The sequence below is a fragment of the Homo sapiens genome, chromosome 20 (genome assembly GCF_000001405.40).
Source record: "Homo sapiens chromosome 20, GRCh38.p14 Primary Assembly".
Classification (NCBI taxonomy): domain Eukaryota; kingdom Metazoa; phylum Chordata; class Mammalia; order Primates; family Hominidae; genus Homo; species Homo sapiens.
In genome coordinates, this window is record NC_000020.11 from 37,226,080 (window position 1) to 37,248,265 (window position 22,186).

Here is a 22,186-nt window from a genome sequence, read left to right on the forward strand (position 1 = left end):
CCCTCCCTCCCTCAGATGGACTCTTGCTCTGTCACCCAGGATGGAGTGCAGTGGTGTGATCTCAGCTCACTGCAACCTCTGCCTCCTAGGTTCAAGCGATTCTCCTACCTCAGCCTCCCAAGTAGCTGGGATACAGGCATGCATTACCATGCCCAGCTAATTTTTGTATTTTTAGCAGAGACAGGGTTTCACCATGTTGGCCAGGCTGTTCTCATCTCCTGACCTCAGGTGATCCGCCTGCCTCAGCCTCCCAAAGTGGTGGGATTATAAGCATGGCACTAGACTCGAGGCTTTTTCTTTCTGATTTAAAAAAGGGAATGTGCTGGCCAGGCATGGTGGCTCACGCCTGTAATCCCAACACTTTGGAGGCAGAGGTAGGAGGATCACTTGAGCCCAGGAGTTGGAGACCAGCTTGGGCAATATGGTGAGACCTCATTTGTGTGTATGTATGTATGTATAAATAAATAAGGGAATATACTGAAATAATTTCAAAAGAAGACCCAAAGCATTTTTTTATTCTAGCCAAAGCAGATTTTGTATTTGTGGGACTCTGAAGAATAGCCCTTTTAACTTGTGCTTACTTTGTATTATGAAAGCAATAGGCTTTATTTTTTTCATAGAGTAATGAAAATTATTATTTAAAAGATTTTCAAACCATATACTCTTTCCCCTGAGAACCTAATATGGCCCCATGTCCACTCAGATACCCCCACTCCCACACTGCCTGTCATCCCCCTTGATGGAGAATAACCTGCCTTTAGTGTTACGTGAAGGAAGATTCAGATAAATACTTTGAATGCTGAAAGACAGGAATGCGGGACCTAGTTTGGTATGGGGTACCCTGTACCGATGCTTTAGCAAGGACCAGCAGACTTGTTGCCTTGAGGCAGCTTCAGGGCAGACCTCAGAGGCAACTGGATTTACTTGAGAACCTTCTTGCTTTCTGTTTCTTGCAGCTGCAGCTGTTGGACTTGTGCCCCAGGAGCACGTTCCTCTATGGCCACAGTCCTGGGAGTCCTCTGCTCCTCTCTCCTCCCTACTCCCAAACTCCAGACAGCTTGGTTAGGGCCCTTAGCCAAGCCTAACTGACCTTTGAGTACTTCAGCCTCTTAGCATTTCCCAGCTTCTTCCCAGAATGACATTTGCCAACCAAATAGCACAAGGGAAGGAAGAGTACAAAGAGAAGAAAGTAAAAGACTAAACTAGTAGGATTAGGATTAGAGCAAGGAGAGTTAGTGAGGAAGTGTAACTTTCACTGAATACTTGTCTCATCCAGAATTCTGCTGTAGAATCATGGCCTAGAGACCTTCCAGGTGGAGGTGGCATTTTGGTGATGAACTTGGCAGCTGCCTGCACTTGATTGTGATAGGAAGGAGATCTGGCATCCGGTCTCCCCATTCCATTCCTGGCCAAGACTAATTGCTGTAGTTGGGATGCTTCATATCTCTGGGCCTCTTTCCCTAAATGCTTTGGTGGTGGTTCTTTGTTGTTCAGGTATAGATTAACACATGAGATGTAGATTTTCTGTAGATACAGTGCTGGCTCTGTCACCCTGCCAACTCATTTAATGCTTGTGCCTTGTGATCTGTAAATTGGATCTGTAAACCTACCTGCCTTGTTGAATTCTTTATTTTGAAACACCTGAAAGAAAAGCTCTGGGTAGTTATCAAGTTTTGGTCCAGTTCTAATGTGCAGACACCTTGGTTTCTTGTGCCATTAGTGGGGATAAAGTGATTAGACTCAGTACCATCGTATTGCTATTAACTACTATTTGTTGACTAGCTAGCATATACCGTTCCCTGCACTAATGCTTAGCATATGGTATTGCAAATCTTCACACAGATATGCCACATCTGGAAGTTAATTTTTCTGCCTTAAAGTTGAAGAAATCAAAGCACAAGGAAGTTAAGTAACTTGCTCAGCTAATAAGTAGTGGAAGCAAATCTGTCTTCCAAGCCGAGGCTCTCTCCATGACACTGGGCTGCTCTGCTTGATTAGAACTCTGCCTTACCATCAATACCCAAGCCTCCTCTACTAAATCTTTAGCTGGAGGCACAAGGAAATTGAAAATGGGCCTCTTACAGTTCCACCTCATTTCCTTTCTTTTCACCCTCTGGTGAAGCAGTTAATTGGGCAGCAAAGTGACCAAAAGGCTGGCGGGAAAAAGAAATTGCAGCAATAGCAAAGGGCTTAAATCATCTGCAAACTGGGCAGTCAGCCTCCAACTAGTCGAGAATTGGCTGGACCCGTAAGTTAAATTTCCTTCCTTGTACCAGCAAAAAGTTATCTCTGAGCTGGGAACTAGGGTGGCATGGCCACTCCTTCTACTCTCTGGGGCAGGTCTGGCAGATCCCAGAGCTCTCACTGTGACAAAGCGCTAATAACCGTCTGCTGCCCGGTGGATTCAATGTTAGGCCCAGGGAGAATCTTGAAATTATCAGATGAAAGATTGTATTATTCTTCCATCTAGACATTTGTCCGACTCCATAACCAGAAGACTGGCCAGGAAGTGGTGTTTGTTGCCGAGCCAGACAACAAGAACGTGTACAAGTTTGAACTGGATACCTCTGAAAGAAAGATTGAATTTGACTCTGCCTCTGGCACCTACACTCTCTACTTAATCATTGGAGATGCCACTTTGAAGAACCCAATCCTCTGGAATGTGGTATGTGCCTGAATGTACCCCGACCCAGGTGAGAGTGGCTGTGCCCCAGGCACTGGTGGCTCTTTTTCAGGGGCATGGGGCTCTTCACCTTCGCCTTGCCTGTGCCTCCTATAAATAAGCTTGGGAGGTGAGGCACTGTGTGCAGTCTCCATAAATAGTCCTGGGGTCATGCACGGGGCTTGGCAACATGGTACGTGCTTAATAAATATTAAGTGAGTGAAGGAAGTATAAACTTTGTGAGTGCTAGTATCTGTGAATTTCTATAAACATTATACAGGAAGGCCGTTTTCATATTATAGCAGGCACTATTGGGGTTACGTAGATGTGAAAGTTAAGGCCCTGGCCTTTGAGATATGGCATAGCTCATGGGAGGGATGAGATCTGAATTCTGATAACAATTCAGGATGATGTAGAAAAGTGAATTGTACAATGTGCAAAATGCTAATTAACTAATAACCAACATTTGTGTAGCATGTTGTTGTTTACATAGTGCCTTCCTGCATGCCTCACTTTGGATTGGCGTGATGAGAGTAAACGTCTTGCAAGACAGGGCATTTGAGCAAGGGGTTGAAGAATGGCAAGGGTTTATCAGATCTGGGGCTGTGGGGTGATCATTGGGGAAGGGCTTGCAGAAGAGCTCAAGGTGCTTTCAGTGCAATGGGAGCGGTTGTGTTTTGCCAGAGCACCTGAATCCTGTCAAAAGCAGGAGGTGATGAGCTTGGAAAGGTAGCAGAGGCCAAATTGCAGGCTTTGAATGGTGGTTGACTCACTTTGCAAGACAAAGGGGCAGCTGCGTTTTCTCGTGTGGTATTCAAGACTTCTTTTCTTCTCCTGGACTTCAGGCTGTTTTTGTACAAGAGCGCATACTCATTTCTTTCTCTCTTTTTCAAATGTGACTAAATCACACTTCCCAGGGACACCAAGCTGTTTCTGATTGCAACTGTAACAGCCTGTGTACCAGCTGGGATTTTTGTATTAAGCAGCTCTATGGGGCTACTATACCAGCAGAAAATTAGAAGTCTTGCTCTAAAAAGCATTTTCAGCAAATACTTGTTTTGTTCTTAAAGTTTTTACTGCCTCAATTTGTCAGCTAATGGATCAGAAGTGATTGGGACTGCCTGGAGCTTTTTTCAGTTATGGTCTTAGATGTGAGTCAGAGAATATTATCTATTGAGTTTCACCCACTTCTCTGCCCCTGTGCTTTTACAGACTGTCCTTATTTTTCTAGGCTGATGTGGTCATCAAGTTCCCTGAGGAAGAAGCTCCCTCGACTGTCTTGTCCCAGAACCTTTTCACTCCAAAACAGGAAATTCAGGTATATCCCAAAGGGCCTATCCACTAAACGTGGGAGAAGAGAGGGCAACAAAGCCCTGGACAGTGGCTCTGCTCCCTTTAACTTGTTTTGTGATGTTTTATAGTTTGATCCTCACACCCTGTGGATTAGGCAGGGTAAATGGCAGCCCCATCCTTGAACTGAGAAAACAGGTTTAAAGAGTCCGGTGACTAACCCCCAGAAAGCAGAGAGTTGAAGATGAAATCAGAACCTGAGTCTGGTTTTCCTGACATCCGGCAGGTTCAACCCTCAGACCACAGCTTATTAGCTATGAGCGCAGATGGTTCTAGCGTTTATCCTCCCTGCTCCTGTGTAAATCAGGGCTGATGGGGCGACAGGTGGGAAAACTCACCTGGGAGAACAGGGCTCTACTTCCTTAGGCAAGTCCTTGGATAAGCAAGCCTGGTCCTGTCCTGCACGCAGGACTGTTGTGAGAATCAAAGTTGATAACAGATGAGTGAAGAAAGGCTTTGAAATGTTTCTAAAGCCCTTTCCAAAATAAACACAATAATTGTTAAACACTTTGGATACTGGTTAAGGAAACTGAGGTGGATCCACTCAGTGGACTATTTTGCAATCTTGAGAAATGATCGTACTTGGAAACTTGCATACGAATTAATGTTGAAGTGTCAAAAACAGACTACCTGCTGTCATTCCACTTTAAAAAACAAGTGCTCAAAGGGTAGAGTAGTAGGATTGTTTTCAAAACTCCTTTTCATATTGATACAGCATTATTTAAGAATGTAAAATGCAGCTAACTGGTAGGTGTAATTGTGATGATGAAGGGTGCTGGCTGAAGTAGGTGGCAGCAGCTGCTATAGTGTTAGAAATCCTTTAATGGCAGCGGCAGCAAAGAAGAGCAGAGGTCAAAATTTAGGAACAGGAGGCTCAAGTGGGGCTGTGTCATCATGGAGCTGGTTTGGCTGGGCATTGACAAGCAGAAAAGGCAGGCACAAGTTGATACGTTGGAGGAAAAATCTTTTTTAAAAAGTTCTATTTGCATAATGAGTTACAGCTTACAAAGCATAATCAAATGCACTATTTCATTTGGTCTTTAGAGTATCTTTACAAGCCTAGCAGGGTGGTCATGGCCCTCCCCACCCCCAATTTTCCAGCTGGAAAGTGAGGTGAAGAGTGGGAAAGTGACTTCCCTTCTGGTCACACAGCCATACGTTTCAGTTTGGGCCTAAACGGAGGTCTCCAGAATCCCACACCATTGCTGCTTCTGCTAGGTCACACTATCTAGGTGAGCTTCGTAAAGAGAATTCATGTAGAATTGCTCAGGAAAAAACAAAAAACAAAAAAAAAACCAAGAAATACCATCAGAATGCTTGTCGAGCCTTCTGGTTTAACTCTGGAAATCAAAGTTGGGCCAGGCATGGTGGCTCACGCGAATCTTGCTTTGCAGGGCCAAGGAGGGAGGATCACTTGAGGTCAGGAGTTGGAGATCTAGTGAGACTCTGTCTCTACAAAGAATTTAAAAATTAAGCTGGGTGTGGTGGCGCGTACCTGTAGTCCCAACTACTCAGGAGGCTAAGGCAGGAGGATCTTTTGAGCCCAGGTGTATGAGGTTACAGCAAGCTATGATGGTGCTACTGCACTTCAACCTGGGTGACACAGTGAGGTCCTGTCTCTTTAAAAAAAAGAAAAAGAAATGAGAGCGGGAAGTTCGTTTAGGGCTTCCTTAGAGCCATGGCTCAGGGAGAGAGGGATGAATTATGGGTGGAAAGATCTGTAGGGAGGCTCTGTTACCTTTTAAAAAGGTATAGTGTTACCACCATTAGCCAATTAAGTGGGGCAGCAGCATTTGCCAGGGCCACCCTAGGAACCCAGAAACATTGCGAGTCCAGCGTCCTGCCTCAGTCCTGTCACTCAAGCCATCCATATACCTGGGCACCCTCTTTGGCACTAGCCAAATGCCACTTGATGGATTGCATTCTCTGGCCTCTGAATGGCAGTGAGTCTTTGAAGGGAATAAAGGGTTGGCCAAGCAGTGAGCTGGGGTTAATGTAGTCTCTGTGGAAGGGAGACCTCTGGGATCAAAAGCCAGCATTGAGAAGAGGCAAAAGGCCCCATGCCCACTTGTTGCCAAGAGGTTTTAGCCTCTGGGCGGCATATCCTCTTCATGACTGACATTGATGCTTTGGTCCCCGGTATACATGGCTGCCCCTACTGGGAAGGGCACATTCTTAAGTCTTCTTGGTGTGTCTTTCGGCAGCACCTGTTCCGCGAGCCTGAGAAGAGGCCCCCCACCGTGGTGTCCAATACATTCACTGCCCTGATCCTCTCGCCGTTGCTTCTGCTCTTCGCTCTGGTGAGTGGCTGTAATTAGCGTGGGCAGCATGCGTCTGGCGCCAGACCCAGCAGATGCATTCCTTCCAAAGGAGGCTGTGTTGTCTGGCCTCAGTAAAGCTCCAGAGGGGTCCAGCAGCTGTGACCTGAATTGATGCTCAAGACATTTTAGAATGACCAAAAGTTCCCACTGTGGAGGAGTGGCCAAATAAACTGCCGCATTAACAAGTGGGCATGAGAAAGTACCTAACAGCCACTAAGAATGACAAAAGTGGATGGACTGTGATGCCGTAGGAGGGTTCAGATGAGATCTAGTGTGAACAGAGCGAGATCCGATGCTGGTAGCTATAAAAAACAGCACAAAGGCTGTGGATTTCAGCACTGCTTGGGGCAGAAAACCAGAAACAACCTAAAGTTCATAAGATGGAATAATATGCAGCTTTTCAAAGAATGGATAGATTTATATGCTGATAGGACAAGATTGCCAAGATGTGTTACTGAGTGAAAAAGGCAAGGGGTAGGGTAGTGTGTTTAGTATGATCCTCTGTAAAGTTTTAAAAGGTGGCTGGGTGTGGTGGCTCATGCCTGTAATCCCAGCACTTTGGGAGGCCGAGGTGGGAGGATTGCTTGAAGCTCAGGTGTTTGAGATCAGCCTGGGCAACATAGCAAGACCCCATCTCTACTAAAATCAGAAAATTAGAAAAAAAAAAATTAATGGTGACGTATGCCTGTAGTCCCGGCTACTTGAGGAGCTGAGGTGGGAAGATCACATGAGCCCAGGAAGTCAAGTCTGCAGTGAGCCATGCATTCTAACCTGGGTGACAGAGTGAGACCCTGTCTAAAAAAAAAATAAAAATAAGTTTTAAAAGGCGATATGTGTTAGTGTTGGTCATCTCTGAGGAGTGGACATTCTGGAGAATGTAGAGGAAGTAACTTTTACCTTTTCTCCTTTTCAGTACCATTTGAATTTTTTTTTTTAGCCAATTGTGTTTTTCTCTTTTTTCAAATTATAAACAAACATGAATGCATATCCTCAAAGCTCAGAGAATTTTGAGAAAACACTCATTAGATCTTACTTTTGGAAAGTTGCCTGTGTTCCTAATTGTTGCTTTTAACAAAAGAATTACTGTTTAAATCTAGATAAATCTAGAAGCCTTGCTACAGGTTTTCAGAAACCAGACCTAGGGTATGGGCACCTGTCCTTACATTTCAGTGATGAGAATTTCAAATGACATGGAACCCACGGCAAGAGCGTGAATGCCACCAGCTGCCGGTGGGTTTATCTTACCAATTCTTAGAGAACTTAGTGGGGGTGTCAGTTACCTTATAAATGCAGTTTCTGACCTTTCAGCTTCATGGTCTCACCTGTTTTAAAATAGTAGGGTTTGTCATCATTAAAAATGATGTTCAGGTTTGAGTTACACGAGCCCATTTGAGAGCAGGTGCTGAATGCCTTTCTAAAGAAAAAGGGAACAAGTTTCCCCGAGGGCTTATAATAGGGTGGTTGTCACTTGGAAGAATTGCCTGTCCTTCTAGGATGCATGAACTTTGAAGCCTTGGGGCTGTTGATGGGATTAGCATTGGCATGGCTTGTGTTGCTTCCCTTTTAAGTTCTAATGCCTTTTTAATTTATTTCTCCCCATCATTCAGTGGATCCGGATTGGTGCCAATGTCTCCAACTTCACTTTTGCTCCTAGCACGATTATATTTCACCTGGGACATGCTGGTAAGTGCCCCAGGCTGCTAATTACCTGTAACGTCCTCTGACATTTAGCCTGCCCACGCAAAAGCCCTGTTAAGTAGACCCACAACCTATTACCTATAATGACTTAATAGCATTACATTTCCCTCTTCCTCCTGGCCTTTTAGGACAGTTAATACGAAGATAAACCTGTTTGGTCCATCACTTAGAACAGCTGTCATTATATTGGGCTTTGTTGTACTGTGCCACTGTTGGCAGACCATTTACCCTCAGTTAATAACCCTGTTTATTTCCAGAGATTACTCACTTATCGTATCTTTACATTGAGCAATCTTCCTGGATGAAGAGCATTAATGCAGTTTCCAAAGGTTATCTTTCCCCACGCTATCGATCTTCACATTTGCTGCCGGCTCTGTCTGTGTAGTAATAGAAAACAGTCCTTTCCACAGTCAGACATGCTATCCTGCATCGTTCTCTGGAGACCTTAGGACTTCAACAGCCTAAACATAACAAGACAGTAAATTCACAAATCACTTAAGCATTTCTGAGGCTTTTGATGCTATTGGATCAGGGGTGCCTTGCATTTCACTGTGACTTTAATTTTTTGTTCGTTGTTTTTTTTTTTTTGAGACAGGGTCTTACTCTGTCACCCAGGCTGGAGTGCAGTGGTGCATTCATGGCTCACTGCAGCCTTGACCTCCCAGACTCAGGTGATCCTCCCACCTCAGCCTCCAGAGCAGCTGGGACTCCAGGCTTGTGTCACCACATTTAGCTAGTATTTGTATTTTTTGTAGAGACGGGGTCTTGCTGTGTTCAGAGCTGGTCTTGAACTCCTAGGCTCAAGCAGTCTTCCCGCCTTTGGCCTCCCAGAGTGCTAGGATTATAGGTGTGAGCCACCACGCCTGGCCTGACCTTAATATTTTTAAAATTCTTTGCCTCTTTCAGGAGTCACTATCTGTGCGCCCATAGTAAACAGATTCTGTAGGGGTGCATAGATAAGTCTCTTGAAATTCTAGGCAAATGTCTGTATTTTTCTGGGGAAAGAGAGAGTTGTGACTTTGATCAGATTATTATGGTGCAGTGGTCCGTGACCTCAGAAGTGGTTAAGAGCCCCGCTGTAGTTCATCCGTCATCTGTCTGGGCAAAACTGACAGGATGACCTTTCTCTCTGGCTCAGTTCCTGGATATGTATGATAGCCCTCTGGGGTCAGACCGAGAAGAAAACCTGAATATAAATCTGTTGAGAGCCGTGGCTTTTCCTGCCATTGTGCTTTTTGTGCACGTTTTCTCATTTGATTATCATCATAGCCCTGATGAGGGTGACTGGGGCAGGAATTATGATCCCTTTTGACAAGGTGGGAGAATCTGGGCTCAGAGAAGTTAAGTGGCTGGTAAGGGCAGGGCCTGGACCAGGCCCCAGGGCTCTCCGTTCCCAGCTCTGAGCCCTTTTCACTCAGCCTTCTTCCTGAGTCCTCCTTGCTCCCTTCCTAGTCACAGTGGCAAATTATCCTTACAGTTTGTTTCCCCCCATAAAAAAAGAAATTATTCATTTATTTATATCCTGTTTATTTTTTATTTTTATTTTTTATTTTTTTGAGATGGAGTCTTGCTCTGTCTCGCCCAGGCTGGAGTGCAACGGTGCGATCTTGGCTCACTGCAGCCTCTGCCTCCCAGGTTCAGGCGATTCTCCCACCTCAGCCTCCCAAGTAGCTGGGATTATAGGCCTGCGCCACCACACCTGGCTAATTTTATATTTTTAGTAGAGAGAGGGTTTCACCATGTTGGCCAGGGTGGTCTCGAATGCCTGACCTCAAGTGATCCTTCTGCCTCGGCCTCCCAAAGTGCTGGGATTACAGGTGTGAGCTCCCGCACCCAGCCTATTTATATCCTGTGTATTTTTGTTAAGAATTTGAAAAATGAATGCCAAGTATAACATGACAGAGGAGTTTTAAACAAAAGCAGAGAAATAGTTGTAAGCAGGAACATGGCACAGGTCGCTGAAGTCCAATTGTTACCCCTGTTTGTGGGTGTGTGTGTGTTTTGAGACGAGGTATCACTGTCACCCAGGCTGAAGTACAGTGGTGTGATCAAGCTCACTGCATCCTTGACCTCCCAGGCTCAAGCGATCTTCCTACCTCAGCCTCCTAAGTAGCTAGGACTACAGACATGGACCATTACGCCTGACTAATTTTTTGAATTTTAATAGACACGAGGTCTCACTGTGTTGCCCAGGGTGGTCTCGAACTCCTGAGCAATCCTCCTGCCTCAGCCTCCCAAAATGTTGGGATTACAGGTGTGAGCCACTGTGCCTGGCCACACACTTGGCCACAGCTGAGAGGCGAATATATTGAGTTAGCTACTTTTTGGCATCAGAGCAAAGGAATAAAACAAGCTGGTATAGGAGTACAGACCTTTTCATGATCCAACAGTTGCTATGTCTAACTTTCCTCAACCGCAGGGCATCATTATGTTTCATTTAATTGGATGTCATGACACCTCTTCTTGCAGCTATGCTGGGACTCATGTATGTCTACTGGACTCAGCTCAACATGTTCCAGACCTTGAAGTACCTGGCCATCCTGGGCAGTGTGACGTTTCTGGCTGGCAATCGGATGCTGGCCCAGCAGGCAGTCAAGAGGTAAGGCCAGACATGAGCCAGGGATCTAGAGTAGGGTTAGAAATACTCAGCTCTGCCGGCCTAGCTCTTTGAAGGGTAGGTGGCAAAATGATTTGTGTTCTTAGGGGCAAGTCTGACACCCTAATCTAGCCCAGTACAGAAGCCAGAAGCACTTTGAAGTCAGAAAAGAGCCTTAGTGGTCAGCTTTGAATGTATTACAACCATTGTAATTGATGCCCCAATACAATAGAATGAGAGAGGAAAATTATTAGCTTTATGAAGATGAAAATGCATTCATAGATGTGGCAGAAGATTAATTTGTTAGCTGTGTAAAAATTCTCTGCTGCTACAGAGAATCCTGCCCTGCCCTCCCCACCCTCAACATGTCCCCGAGAGCTGCTCCTCTGTAACCCTCACAGCTCCAGGAGCTTGTCCCGGAAGCACGAGGTCTGTGTTATTTCCCACAGAAGCTGCAGCAGGTTTTGCAGAGGCTCCCAGCAAGGAGTATCTCCTCAGTAGCCTACACCATCTCCCCGGGACCCAGACAACCTTAGAGTCACATGGATGGTCAGACAGACCTTGACATGAGGGCAGCTTGCTGGCAGCTTGACTTTCTAAACAGAATTGGAGGCAAATTTAAATGTCACAAAGGTGTTTCTCATTGATTTGACTTTATTAGAACCTGAGTGATTTCAGACACGCAAAGGCCAGTAAGAACAGAATTGCTTTCACCTCTGGAAATCGTTTTCAGATGTGCCGCTTTCTTCTATCCAGGACGTTTGCTGGAAGAATGTAACTCAATAGTGTACCCTCAACGTGGCTGCCAGTTAGGGTGCTGGGATCAGAGAGAGGCTTTTTCAGGGAGACCATCAGTGGGTGGGAGAAGATGTCTCATCTCCGCCCGAGTCTCCATTGTGAGCTTTCTGAGCATTTCACCATGGAGACTCGGCACAGACGTGTTCCTTGGCTTTCCTGTAGGAATCCAGGGCCCACCAGAGCTTCCCTTAGCACCAGCAGTGGCAGCTGGTTCATTTTGCCACCCTCCAGTAGCCTTTTCCTGGTGGTTCTGCATTGTACCTGAGAAAGAGCCAGGACTCAGTTGCTTTTGCAAAGCAGAACCCTGTTCCCTTGCAGCACCTGCCTGGGCCCCCAGGGAGCCAAAAGACTGCTCTGCTAAGTTCTCTCTTTTCTGGAAGTTGCTCACTCGAGAAGAATGAAATCTGCCCGCCATGGTGGCTTATGCCTATAATCCCAGCACTTTGGGAGGCTAAGGCGGGAGGATCGCTTGAGCTCAGGAGTTGGAGACCAGCCTGGGCAACATAGTGAGACCTCGTCTCTCAAAAAATTAATAAAAATTAAGAAAAAAATCAAGACAAGAATTGAGTAGAAACCATTTGGTTTATGTTCTGCTTAGCAGGAGTTCCTAATCTGGAATCCTAAAGTTGTATGCATTTTATGGGGAGAGAGACTATGGTTTTTATCAGAATCCCAGAAGGATCAGTAACTCCTCCCTCTCCCCTGCTCATGTATTCGATTCAAAAACTTAAAGCCCACTCTTCTGTGGCCCTCTTTGTGAGTCCTAGAATGAACTCTACCCTGGAAAAATCAGTGACCCTAATGGAAGCTCTGGTTGGGTGTTTGTCATTTCTTTCCTCAGCTGATTTCTCCCCTCACTGTCCTTTCTTGATTCTCAAACCCTCTTTCCTTTGGCAGGATCGCTGCAGAGCAGAGCAGTAGATTGGCAAAATATAGGACACTACGGTAAAGATGAAGGGCGGACTCATCCCAGAAGCAGGGTCCCTTCCCCGTCTTGCCCGCCTCATGCATGTCAGTTATCTCTCTAGTTTTCAGCCCACTTGCTCCTCCCACCCCTCCCTAAGCCACAGCTGAATTCTGAGGCTGCTTTTCAACTTGCTAGATGAGGTTGTGACTGGACCAGGGCAAAAGCTTCCTGAGTTAGCCCAGCTGATGGGATAACTTTGCAGTGAGCAGCTTTGGCCTGGCTTTGACTGTATAAGACTTCATTCTCCCTTATATCCCGTGGGGTACTTACTTATTTATAGACAAGCCTCTCTCTCTGTTTCCAGGACAGCTGAGATGAGGATAAGACAAATCCAAAATTCATTAAATGACGGTCCCATGGCAAATCCTGGCACACCTTGTCACTGTTTCTAGACTTTTCTGTAACACCGATCTCTAGTTGGGCTAAACATTGTGGTCTGGGGAGACTGTAATTTATGAAGGACTGATGGCCACAGATCAAAGCCAGCATCAGAATCCAGGTTCCTAGCACTCAGGGTATGTTAAAAGGGCTGCTCCCCATGTGACTAAAATGTGAAGTGAGATTCCACTCATTCTCCTTCTGCATATCAGTCCTAGGATGGGAGGGAAGTGGAGGGAAGGAGAAGGAGAGTCTGATGCTTCACTGATCTGCTCCGCTAGACCAGGGTCTGGCAAAAGTTTTCTGTAAAGAGCCAGACAGTATTTTAGGCTTAACTGGCCATATGGTCTCTTGGCACCAACTACTCAACTCTGTCACTGTCATGTGAAAGCAGCCATAGACTGTATAAACAAATGGGTGTGGCTGTGTTCCAACAAAACTTTATTCACCAAGACAGGTGGTGGGCTGGATTTGGCCTGAGTGGCACAGTTTGCTGACCCCTGCCCTAGACCAACAAAGGGAGGGGAGGTATTTGAATTTTCAAGTCATGTTCTCCTTTATCCTTTGCCTTGGAAATGGCTTTCCCTGCCAAAGCCACAAAACCATCTAATTTCTAATCCTCTGAAAATAGGAGAGATCAACAAAAGCATAGTATTTGGAGCCTTTCCATGGATGTGTGAGCATAAGCTGGGTCACCTAGTCCTCAACACAGAAGGGAACTGCATTTGTTTGTTTGTTTGTTTGTTTGTTTGTTTGTTTCCAGGTTTAATGGAGTTGTAATTTATCTGCAGAAAAATGTACCCTTTTTAGTGTACAATTCTGTGAATCCTGAAAAACCTCTGTAGTCATGTAGCCACCACCTCAGTCAAGATATAGGTATTGCCACTCTCCAGAGAGCTCCCCGGTGCCCCTTTTAGAGTCCGACCCTTCTCCCACCCCCACTCCCTGGCTATGCCCGTTTGGTTTCATCCTACATTATAGTCACTCTGTCTGAGATTTGCTTTCAGCAACTGTCCTTGCTGCTACATGTTGAGTTCTTTAATTCTTTAAATAAGTCGATTTCTTTTCTTGATTAAAAAGAACTTTTTTTATAGAGATGGGGTCTCATTATGTTGCCCAAGCTGGTCTCAAGCTCCTGGGCTCAAGCAATCCTCCTGCTTTGGCCCCTAAAAGTGCTGGGATTATAGACGTGAGCCACCTTACTCAGTCTCTTGAGTTTTAAAGTCCGTTCCCACCCTGCTATCCCCAAATCATTGCTTGAGGAAGAGGAAAGTCACTTGATCATTTGGACATTTGGCATTTCCTAGCATTTGAAAGGAAACCCCCTGGTAGCAAAGTGTTCTTGATCTGAGGGCAGACATTGATTTGAGCAGACATAATGTGGGACGTAAGTTCTAGCCGCAGTCAAGAGTTGTGGGCCACTACCCTTCGGCTGTTCTTATTTCATACTCATGCCATCCTTTCTGCATGAACATTTCTGAATGCCCACATATTAGTGTACCTAAGAACCTCTGAATACTGGCAAGGAATTAGGGGTGCACACCCCAGCCCTCAAGATTAATTCCATGCCTGTGCATGTCTTTTGGAACTGCTTTATTAATGGGTTTGGAGTCTGCCATTCTGCAAGACTGGATCATTATCACCTTAGTCCTCACCCCTGGGAAGAGCTGCCACTGAAGGATGGTGTGTGTGTGTCAGCAACCCTGCCTCTGCTTGCTGGAGCCTGCTGGGATCAGTTACTCACTGCAGTCACCTCCTCAGCTTCACAGTCTGTCTAGATTGTCATTTTCATTCATTGTGCTTCCCCATCCCTCCTTAGAGTCTAGGGAAAGGCAGCGGAGGGGAAACAAAGAGTACAGGAGATAGGTTCTTATCCCCTTTAACACTTTCTGTGAGCTGAGTCCCATTTTTGAGAATCTTTCTGTGTTAGGTTAGATGCTGAGTGTGACTTGGCAAGAACACGGCCACACGGCAGGAATGTGCAGGTTTCTGTAATGAATGGTCAGGATGTCATGTTCTAAGCTACAGAAGGGCCAAGTGTTGGTTGGCAGAGCTGGAGTCTGGGAGATTGATGATGAGCATTATTTAAACTTTGCTCTTTGTTCATCTAATTGAAATTTACACTGTGTTTTTGGCCTTGCACTGTGAGAGGTGTGCCTGGAATTACCTCATCTCCTTATGTTGTCACATACCACTTTCTTAGTTATTATTGAGTTTGTTTTGTTATTTGTATTTAAGTTGTCATCAGCTTAATTATGAACTAGCTGTCTCACATTCTTTTGTAAAATGAGATGGGGCATACATAAATAGACTTGGGAGATAAATGATTATTCCCTTATAAATGGGATCTTAGAGCGGGAGAGTACCTTAGTCTCTCTGTTGTCACCAGTTAGGAACTGTAACTGTGAACTGAAACCTTCAGTAATTCTGTGTTTGTCTCCATTTTCTTTCAGAACAGCACATTAGTTCCAGAAGAAAGATGGAAATTCTGAAAACTGAATGTCAAGAAAAGGAGTCAAGAACAATTCACAGTATGAGAAGAAAAATGGAAAAAAAAAACTTTATTTAAAAAAGAAAAAAGTCCAGATTGTAGTTATACTTTTGCTTGTTTTTCAGTTTCCCCAACACACAGCAGATACCTGGTGAGCTCAGATAGTCTCTTTCTCTGACACTGTGTAAGAAGCTGTGAATATTCCTAACTTACCCAGATGTTGCTTTTGAAAAGTTGAAATGTGTAATTGTTTTGGAATAAAGAGGGTAACAATAGGAACAAAGGCCTGATTGAGAGCTTATTCTCATACTTTTGGGTGGTGGGGTCCTTGGGTATATGACATGAGGACTTAGTTGGAAATGCTGTTGATGCCAGCATATTTCTCCAGGCCTTTCTTGGTCCTTCTTGCCCCTTGCTCCTAACAGAACTGAGAACTGCCTGGAAAGGCCAGCTTCCTTTTTTCTTCTCCAGCAGTGAGCACCAGCTGTCTGCATAGGAGCCCTGTTGGTATCTGAAGGCCCCATTTGGACCTCTAGGGGTCCAAGGGGATAGGTTTTTATCCCCTTTAACATTTTCTGTGAGCTGAGTCCCATTTTTGAGAATCTTTCTGTGTTAGGTTAGATACTGAGTGTGACTTGGCAAGAACACAGCTAAACAACAGGAATGTGCAGGTGGACTGCAGCTAGGACCTCTGCTCAAGGCTCTTGTCTTGGGGCCAGGCATGGAGGCTCACGTCCGTAATCCCAGCACTTTGGAAGGCCGAGGCAGGGGGATCACTTGAAGTCAGGAGTTTTGAGACCAGCCTGGCCAACATGGTGAAACCCTGTCTCTACTAAAAAACCAAAATTAGCCAAGGGGTGGGCATGGTGGTGCATGCCTGTAATCCCAGCTACTTGGGAGGCTGAGGCAGGAGAACAGCTTGAACTTGGGAGGCGGAGGTTGCGGTGAGCCATTGCACTCCAGCCTGGGCCACAGAGCCAGACTCCATCTCCAAAAAAAAAAAAAAAAAAAAAGACTTGCATGGAGATTTGTTGCAACATGAATTTTCAAGGGACACAAATTCAAACCATAGCACTGACCACTTGAGTGACTTTAGTCTAGAAGGCCACATCTCAAGAATGCCCCCTCTGAAGTTGTGCCCATTACATGAGGTTATATAATAGCACAGAGAGAAGTAATACTGCATAGCATGGTTGACTGCGTAGACTTTGGTTCCAGGCAAACCTAGTGTTGCCACTTACTAGGGTGAGGGACCTTGGGCAAGTAGTTTAACCTCCGTAAACCTCCTTTTGTGTTTCTGTAAAAGAGAGATGATAACTACCTACCTCATAGGATTAAAGGAGTTGAATGCTGACGCAGCTTAGCACTTGGCATCTTTCCTGATTGACCTACGGTTATGTGCCTTGGCCCATTGCCTCTAGTTCTAGAATGGCAAAAACTGCAATTACTTTTGCACCAACCTAATATTAATTGAAACATAATAAGTTTAGTTAACTTGTGAAATATGGTAATCCTCATAGTATTTATTGAATTGGGGGTCTGGAAGTTGTTTTATTTTAATCAGATTGCTTCCCAACTAGCTGGACCTTACTACAGTGAAGAAATTGGGATTTTGATTGGGAAAAAGGGAAAGAAGATTCTAGAACTCTATGCCGTTCTGAATGGGATCCTATAGGTAAGAGGATGATGTGGGCAGTTACAGGGATGCCTCTAAGATGGGAAGGAGGCTTCTCCTTCCCAGAGGTTGCAAACTTGTGATCTGTAGTGTTTTTTTAAAAATTGAGTAAGTTGCCAACATTTGAAGACAGATTTTATATAAAAATCTTGGTTTTGGATTCTGGATTCTCCTGAAAGAGAAAACTAGAGCTGTCCACGGCGGGCCTGATTCCTGAACGGCAGCAGTCAGCTGACACTGAATAGCAGCTCGTCCCTTTGGATGGAGCCTGCAAGCTCCAGCTTGTCAGCCCCTCCCCGCACAGGTGTCCACATACAGGACACTTGCGCCAGTCCACCTGGCGACTGTGCTTCTCTGATACCTGCCTGGCTCCCATAGGCATATACCTTTGGGATCCTCCACTTTTTAGTTTCTTATCCCACTCGGAGGGGAAGGGGTGATGGTGGTTTCCTGTTGCTCTTGGGCGGCTCCTAGTGTTCCTACTTAGGTGTGCTGGGACCTCAGCCGCTCAGACTGGAGAGGAAAGAGAGCCCCAGCAGCGTGTGGGATGAGAGCAGGGACACTTGCCACCTATCACCAGACCTGTGCGGGCCTGGAAGACAGACTGGGTGCGGGGCTGGTGGACAGTGGTGTGGAGCAGGGGTAGTAGGGCCTGAGGGTGGAAGTACAAAGGCTGCTGGGTGTCCTGGTCACTGGGAACAAAGGACAGCCAGTGGCTGGAAGGAAGGAAGTCGGGAAACAGCTTTTTGGAGAAACGGCTGGCACAGCTAAGTAAGGGGTTCCCGGGCTGGTTTGGGGCTGGCCTGCAGACTCAGATGGGAGCTGGAGAACAGAGCCCAGTAAACATTGCCATGTGCCAGGCTGTGTTCTGTGTCCAGAGCTACCACAGGGAGCAAGACAGATCCAGTCCCTTCCCTTGGTCCAGGTACAGCCCACGGGCACCCAGCTGAGGGAGAAAGGAAGCAGTGATCACACATGTGAGAAGGGCCTCAGAGGAAGCAGTTCTTACCTTGATGGCTTGGGAGGTCTCAGCTGAGACCTGAAGAATGAGAAGGCGCCTATGCCAAGCTGAGGAAGAGCACTCCGGCCAGAGAATCAGCCAGCATGGAGGCTCTGGGGCAAGAGCACGGCACATTCTGACTGGAAGCAGGCCAAGCAGCCAGGGTGTCACTGGCAGGAACGGCATCCTCGCTGGGATAGAAGCCAGAACAAACTTGGCTTTTAGGGGCTGTGGTAAAGGGGACTGATTTTTCTCTTAGGACCTTTTTTAAAACAAAACAAACAAAGAGATGGGGTCTTGCTATGTTGCCCAGGCTGACCTTGAACTCAAGGGATCCTCTTGCCTCAGCCTCCTGAGTAGCTGGGACTACAAGCATGCACCATCACGCCTGGCCAGCCTGAGTTTTATTTTGGGGTATAGCAGAGGCAGATGCTGTCTGTCTGACCCTGCCCACTGGGCAAAGCCTTTTTTTTTATTTTTTATTTTTTATTTTATTTGAGACAGGGTCTTGCTCTGTTGCTCAGGCCAGAATGCAGTGGTGCAATCACGACTCACTGCAGCCTCAACCTCCCAGGCTCAGGTGATCCCCCCACCTCAGCCTCTGGAGTAGCTGGGACTACAGGCGCGTGCCACCACACTGGGCTAATTTTTGTATTTTTGGTAGAGATGGGATTTTGCAATGTTGCCCAGGCTGGTCTCATACTCCTGAGCACAAGCAATCTCCCCGACCTCCCAAGGTTCTAGGATTACAGGCAGGAGCCACTGCACCTGGCCTCAAAGCCTCTTAAAGGGACTCGGCTCTCAGTGCTGGAGCAGTGCTGCAGGGGAATAACCTGGTTGCTATAGCCAAGACAGTCTGGGAGTCCAGAGCTGACAGCAGGCCTCTCTCTTATAATTCATGAAATCCACTGGATTCATCACTCAAATGATTCGCTGCAGTAGCGCCTGGGCCTGGCCTTCTCTGAGGAGTACAAGACATGCCAGCTTTAGAGTCAGAGCTGCTTCGAGTTCCCCCATTAGCTGTGTGTCCTTTTGTACCTTTACCTCTCTGGGCCTTGGTTTCCCATCAGTAAAAATGGGGATCATACCTCTGAGGGTTTTATAGGGATTAGAGGAGGCCACAGCCACAACACATACCACAGTGCCTGACACTTAGCATTGAGTCAGTGTTTGCTCCCAATAGCGCAGATATTGTCATCATTATTATTTCCCAGGTGGTGTTAACAGGAGCCCAGTCAACAGTTTGTACCAGGTCTACATTCACCTGTTAGTTCAAGTTACTCGACACCCCAGCTCCCTCATTTCCTCCCCAGCATTTCCTGAGGGGCCTGGAGTCTTAAAGCAACCTTTTCGAGAGAGTGTTGCCTTCCCTCCCCGCCCCATCAGTCCCGTCCTGCCAACCTGGAGCGACTCTAGTTGAATCTGACCTCTAGTTGGATCCAGCTGGGCCAATGTGCCCTGCCCTGCCTTCCTCAGGGGCCTGTTGTAGAGAACAAATGAAGTAATGGATGGGAAGCCTCTTTGTGAACTCTAAGTTAATACAAACAGAAGAGATTATCATTAAAAGCGACAAGTCCCCCGTTGATTAGAGCATTTCTTTAGGGAGAAAAATAGCACTCCGTCTTAAGTAGGACCCTCCCCGGAGTGGGAAGCTCCCAGCTCCTCTGCGGGGCAAGTGGAGTCTCTCCGACGCCATTCGTGCCGTGGTTAATGGTATGGAGCACTGGAGTTGTTGCTATGGTGGTTTTTCCCCTATAATTGCATTCACCTCCAAAACCACAAGTAGCAGCAGGTCCCAGCAGTCGTTATTTTATTTGAAAAACTAATTGGAAGTTGAAAGAGCCCTCGGCTTTTGCTTTTGTCAGGATAGGCCAAGGAAAGAGATGAGCAGGTGGGTCTGGGAGGAAGGAGGGGGTCTTGGGGCAGGCCGGGCGCGCCTCCCATTCACAGCCCCTTCCTTTGTGCCTGCCTCTCTTGGTTGAAGTGGGCCACCTGCCCTCTAAGGCCAGCCTTTTCCTCCGAGGGGGCTTTTGTCTCCCATTGTTCTGATTGTCTCCTCCGTGGAGCCGCCTCAGTGGCCCCCTGCAGACGGTTTCCCAGGCTTCACGTTTTTTTTCTCAGGCGCCCAGGGAGAGCAGGTGGTCTTTACCCTGGAAGGAACTGAGTTGGTTATATAGTTCTGGTGCTGGGAGACCAGAGACCTGGCTGCCAGGCCCTTCGAGCTTGGGTCATTCCTTCCCTGACGACACTGTCTTAGGCTACAAAATGGAGAGGTGGGATTGTTCACTCCATCAATGTTAAGATGCTGTGATTCTTTTCGCACTTTTTTTTTTTTTTTTTTGAGACAGAGTCTTGCTCGGTCACCCAGGCTGGAGTACAGTGGCGTCATCTTGGCTCACTGCAACCTCCACCTCCTGGGTTCACGTTGATTCTCTTGCCTCAGCCTCCCTAGTAGCTGGGATTACAGGCCCATGCCACCACACCCAGCCAATGTTTGTATTTTTAGTAGAGGTGGGGTTTCACCATGTTACCCAGGCTTCTCTCAAACTCCTGACCTCAAATGATCCGCCCGCCTCGGCCTCCCAAAGTGCTGGGATTACAGACTTGAGCCACTGCACCTGGCCCCTCTTTTTGCACTTTTTAAATCAAAACAGACATCCCATCATCTAGACTTTTCACAGTTGTCAGGTTTTTTTTAGGTTTAATTTACGTACAGCAAAATGCACAGATCCTAAGTGAACAACCCAATGATTTTTTATATGTGACAACACTGGTATAACCACCACCCAAATTGAAATATAGAACATTTCAGTCACCCCAGTAAGTTCACAGATTCTGATCAGAGGCACGCAGAGGGCAGGTGATGTGTGGCGATATTTGGCCCAGATAAAATGGCTCATGAATAGCAAGAGTTGGGTAATCACTGATGCGGGAGCCTCGGGTCAGTGGCTCCAGTTCTCTGCTTCCCTTTATAGCAAAATTTCTCAAAAAAATAATCTCTACCAGCGCTGTCCAATAGAAATACAAAGCAAGCTACATAGGTGATTTTACATTTTCTGGAAACCAAGATAAAAAAGTTAAAAAGAAACAAGTGAAATTAATTTTAATATATTTTATTTAACCCATATATCTAAAATATCATTTTAATATGTGATCAGTATAAAAATACTGAGGTATTTTGTATTTTTTCATATTAAATCTGAGTGATTCCTACTTGGACCTTTAATCTGTGGGGTGTTTTGTTTTATTTATTCTTTTTTTGGAGACAGAGTCTCACTCTGTTGCCCAGGCTGGAGTGCAGTGGTACAATAATAGTTCACTGCAGCCTCAAACTCCTGGGCTCAACAATTCTCCCACCTCAGCCTCCCAGGTAGCTGGGACTGCAGGTGTGTGTCACCACGCCTGGCTAATTTTTTTTGAATTTTTATTTGTAGAGGCAGAGTCGAGCTATGTTGCCCAGGCTAGTCTTGAGCTCCTATCCTCAAGTGATCCTCCCTCCTTGGCTTCCCAAGAATGCTGGGATTGCAGGCATGAGCCACCATGCCCCAGCCTAAATCCAGTGTTTATTTTATACTTAAAGTACATCTCAGTTTGTACCAGCTACATTTCAAGTGTTCGTTAGCCACATATGTCTAGGGGCCACCCTATTGCACAGCCAAATCTATACTCACCAGCTCTGATTCCTCTTCTCCCATTTCTCCCACTCAAATCAGACTTTGGCCTTCACTACACCTGATTTCTCTTTGCCAAGGTCATCAGTGGCTTCCATGGTCACTTCCATGGTCAGTTCTAAACTGACTTGTCCCATCAGCAGCATTTAGCAGAGCAGATCACCCCTTTCTTCTAGAAACACTCTTCATTGGCTTCTGGGATTCTTCTTTGAAGGAGTTTTCCTGTTACTTCACTGCCTGCTACTTCTCAGCCTCCTTTGCTGGTTCCTCATCTTTCCTCAAAACTTTTTTTTTTTTTTTTTTTTCAGACAGTCTTGCTCTGTCGCCCAGGCTGGAGTGCAGTGGTGTGATTTTGGCTCACTGCAAGCTCCGCCTCCCAGGTTCAAGTGATTCTCCTGCCTCAGCCTCCTGAGTAGCTGGGATTACAAGCGTGCACCACCATGCCTGGCTAATTTTTGTATTTTTAGTCTAGAGACAGGATTTCGTCATGTTGGCCAGGCTGGTCTTGAACTCCTGGCCTCAAGTGATCCACCTGCCTTGGCCTCCCAAAGTGCTGGGATTACAGGCGTGAGCCACTGC

General features: G+C 46.2%; 1 protein-coding gene across 11 annotated transcripts in view, besides 1 other annotated feature; it reads left to right on the forward strand.

Annotated features, from left to right (window-relative positions):
• The window catches only part of RPN2 (ribophorin II), a 62,290-nt gene extending 46,750 nt beyond the window's left edge, over positions 1–15,540 (forward strand). For 4 of the 11 annotated variants that reach the window (NM_001324301.2, NM_001324304.2, NM_001135771.3 and 1 more), the window contains 7 exons: positions 2,471–2,665; positions 3,894–3,980; positions 6,217–6,312; positions 7,941–8,016; positions 10,501–10,630; positions 12,323–12,370; positions 15,224–15,540. In NM_001324301.2, coding sequence (NP_001311230.1) covers positions 2,471–2,665; positions 3,894–3,980; positions 6,217–6,312; positions 7,941–8,016; positions 10,501–10,630; positions 12,323–12,370; positions 15,224–15,236 — 645 coding nt within the window. In that variant the 3' untranslated portion in view covers positions 15,237–15,540. The remainder of the gene's footprint in view (positions 1–2,470; positions 2,666–3,893; positions 3,981–6,216; positions 6,313–7,940; positions 8,017–10,500; positions 10,631–12,322; positions 12,371–15,223) is intronic. The other 7 variants (NM_001324305.2, NM_002951.5, XM_006723851.4 and 4 more) reach the window with 4 other exon arrangements.
• Positions 4,395–4,935: an enhancer, noted in NCBI's record as "H3K27ac-H3K4me1 hESC enhancer chr20:35858877-35859417 (GRCh37/hg19 assembly coordinates)". NCBI's record gives its function as "activates a minimal SCP1, AML or CMV promoter by ChIP-STARR-seq in primed H9 embryonic stem cells {active_cell/tissue: H9 hESC(primed)}" and the evidence as "EXISTENCE:reporter gene assay evidence [ECO:0000049][PMID:30033119]".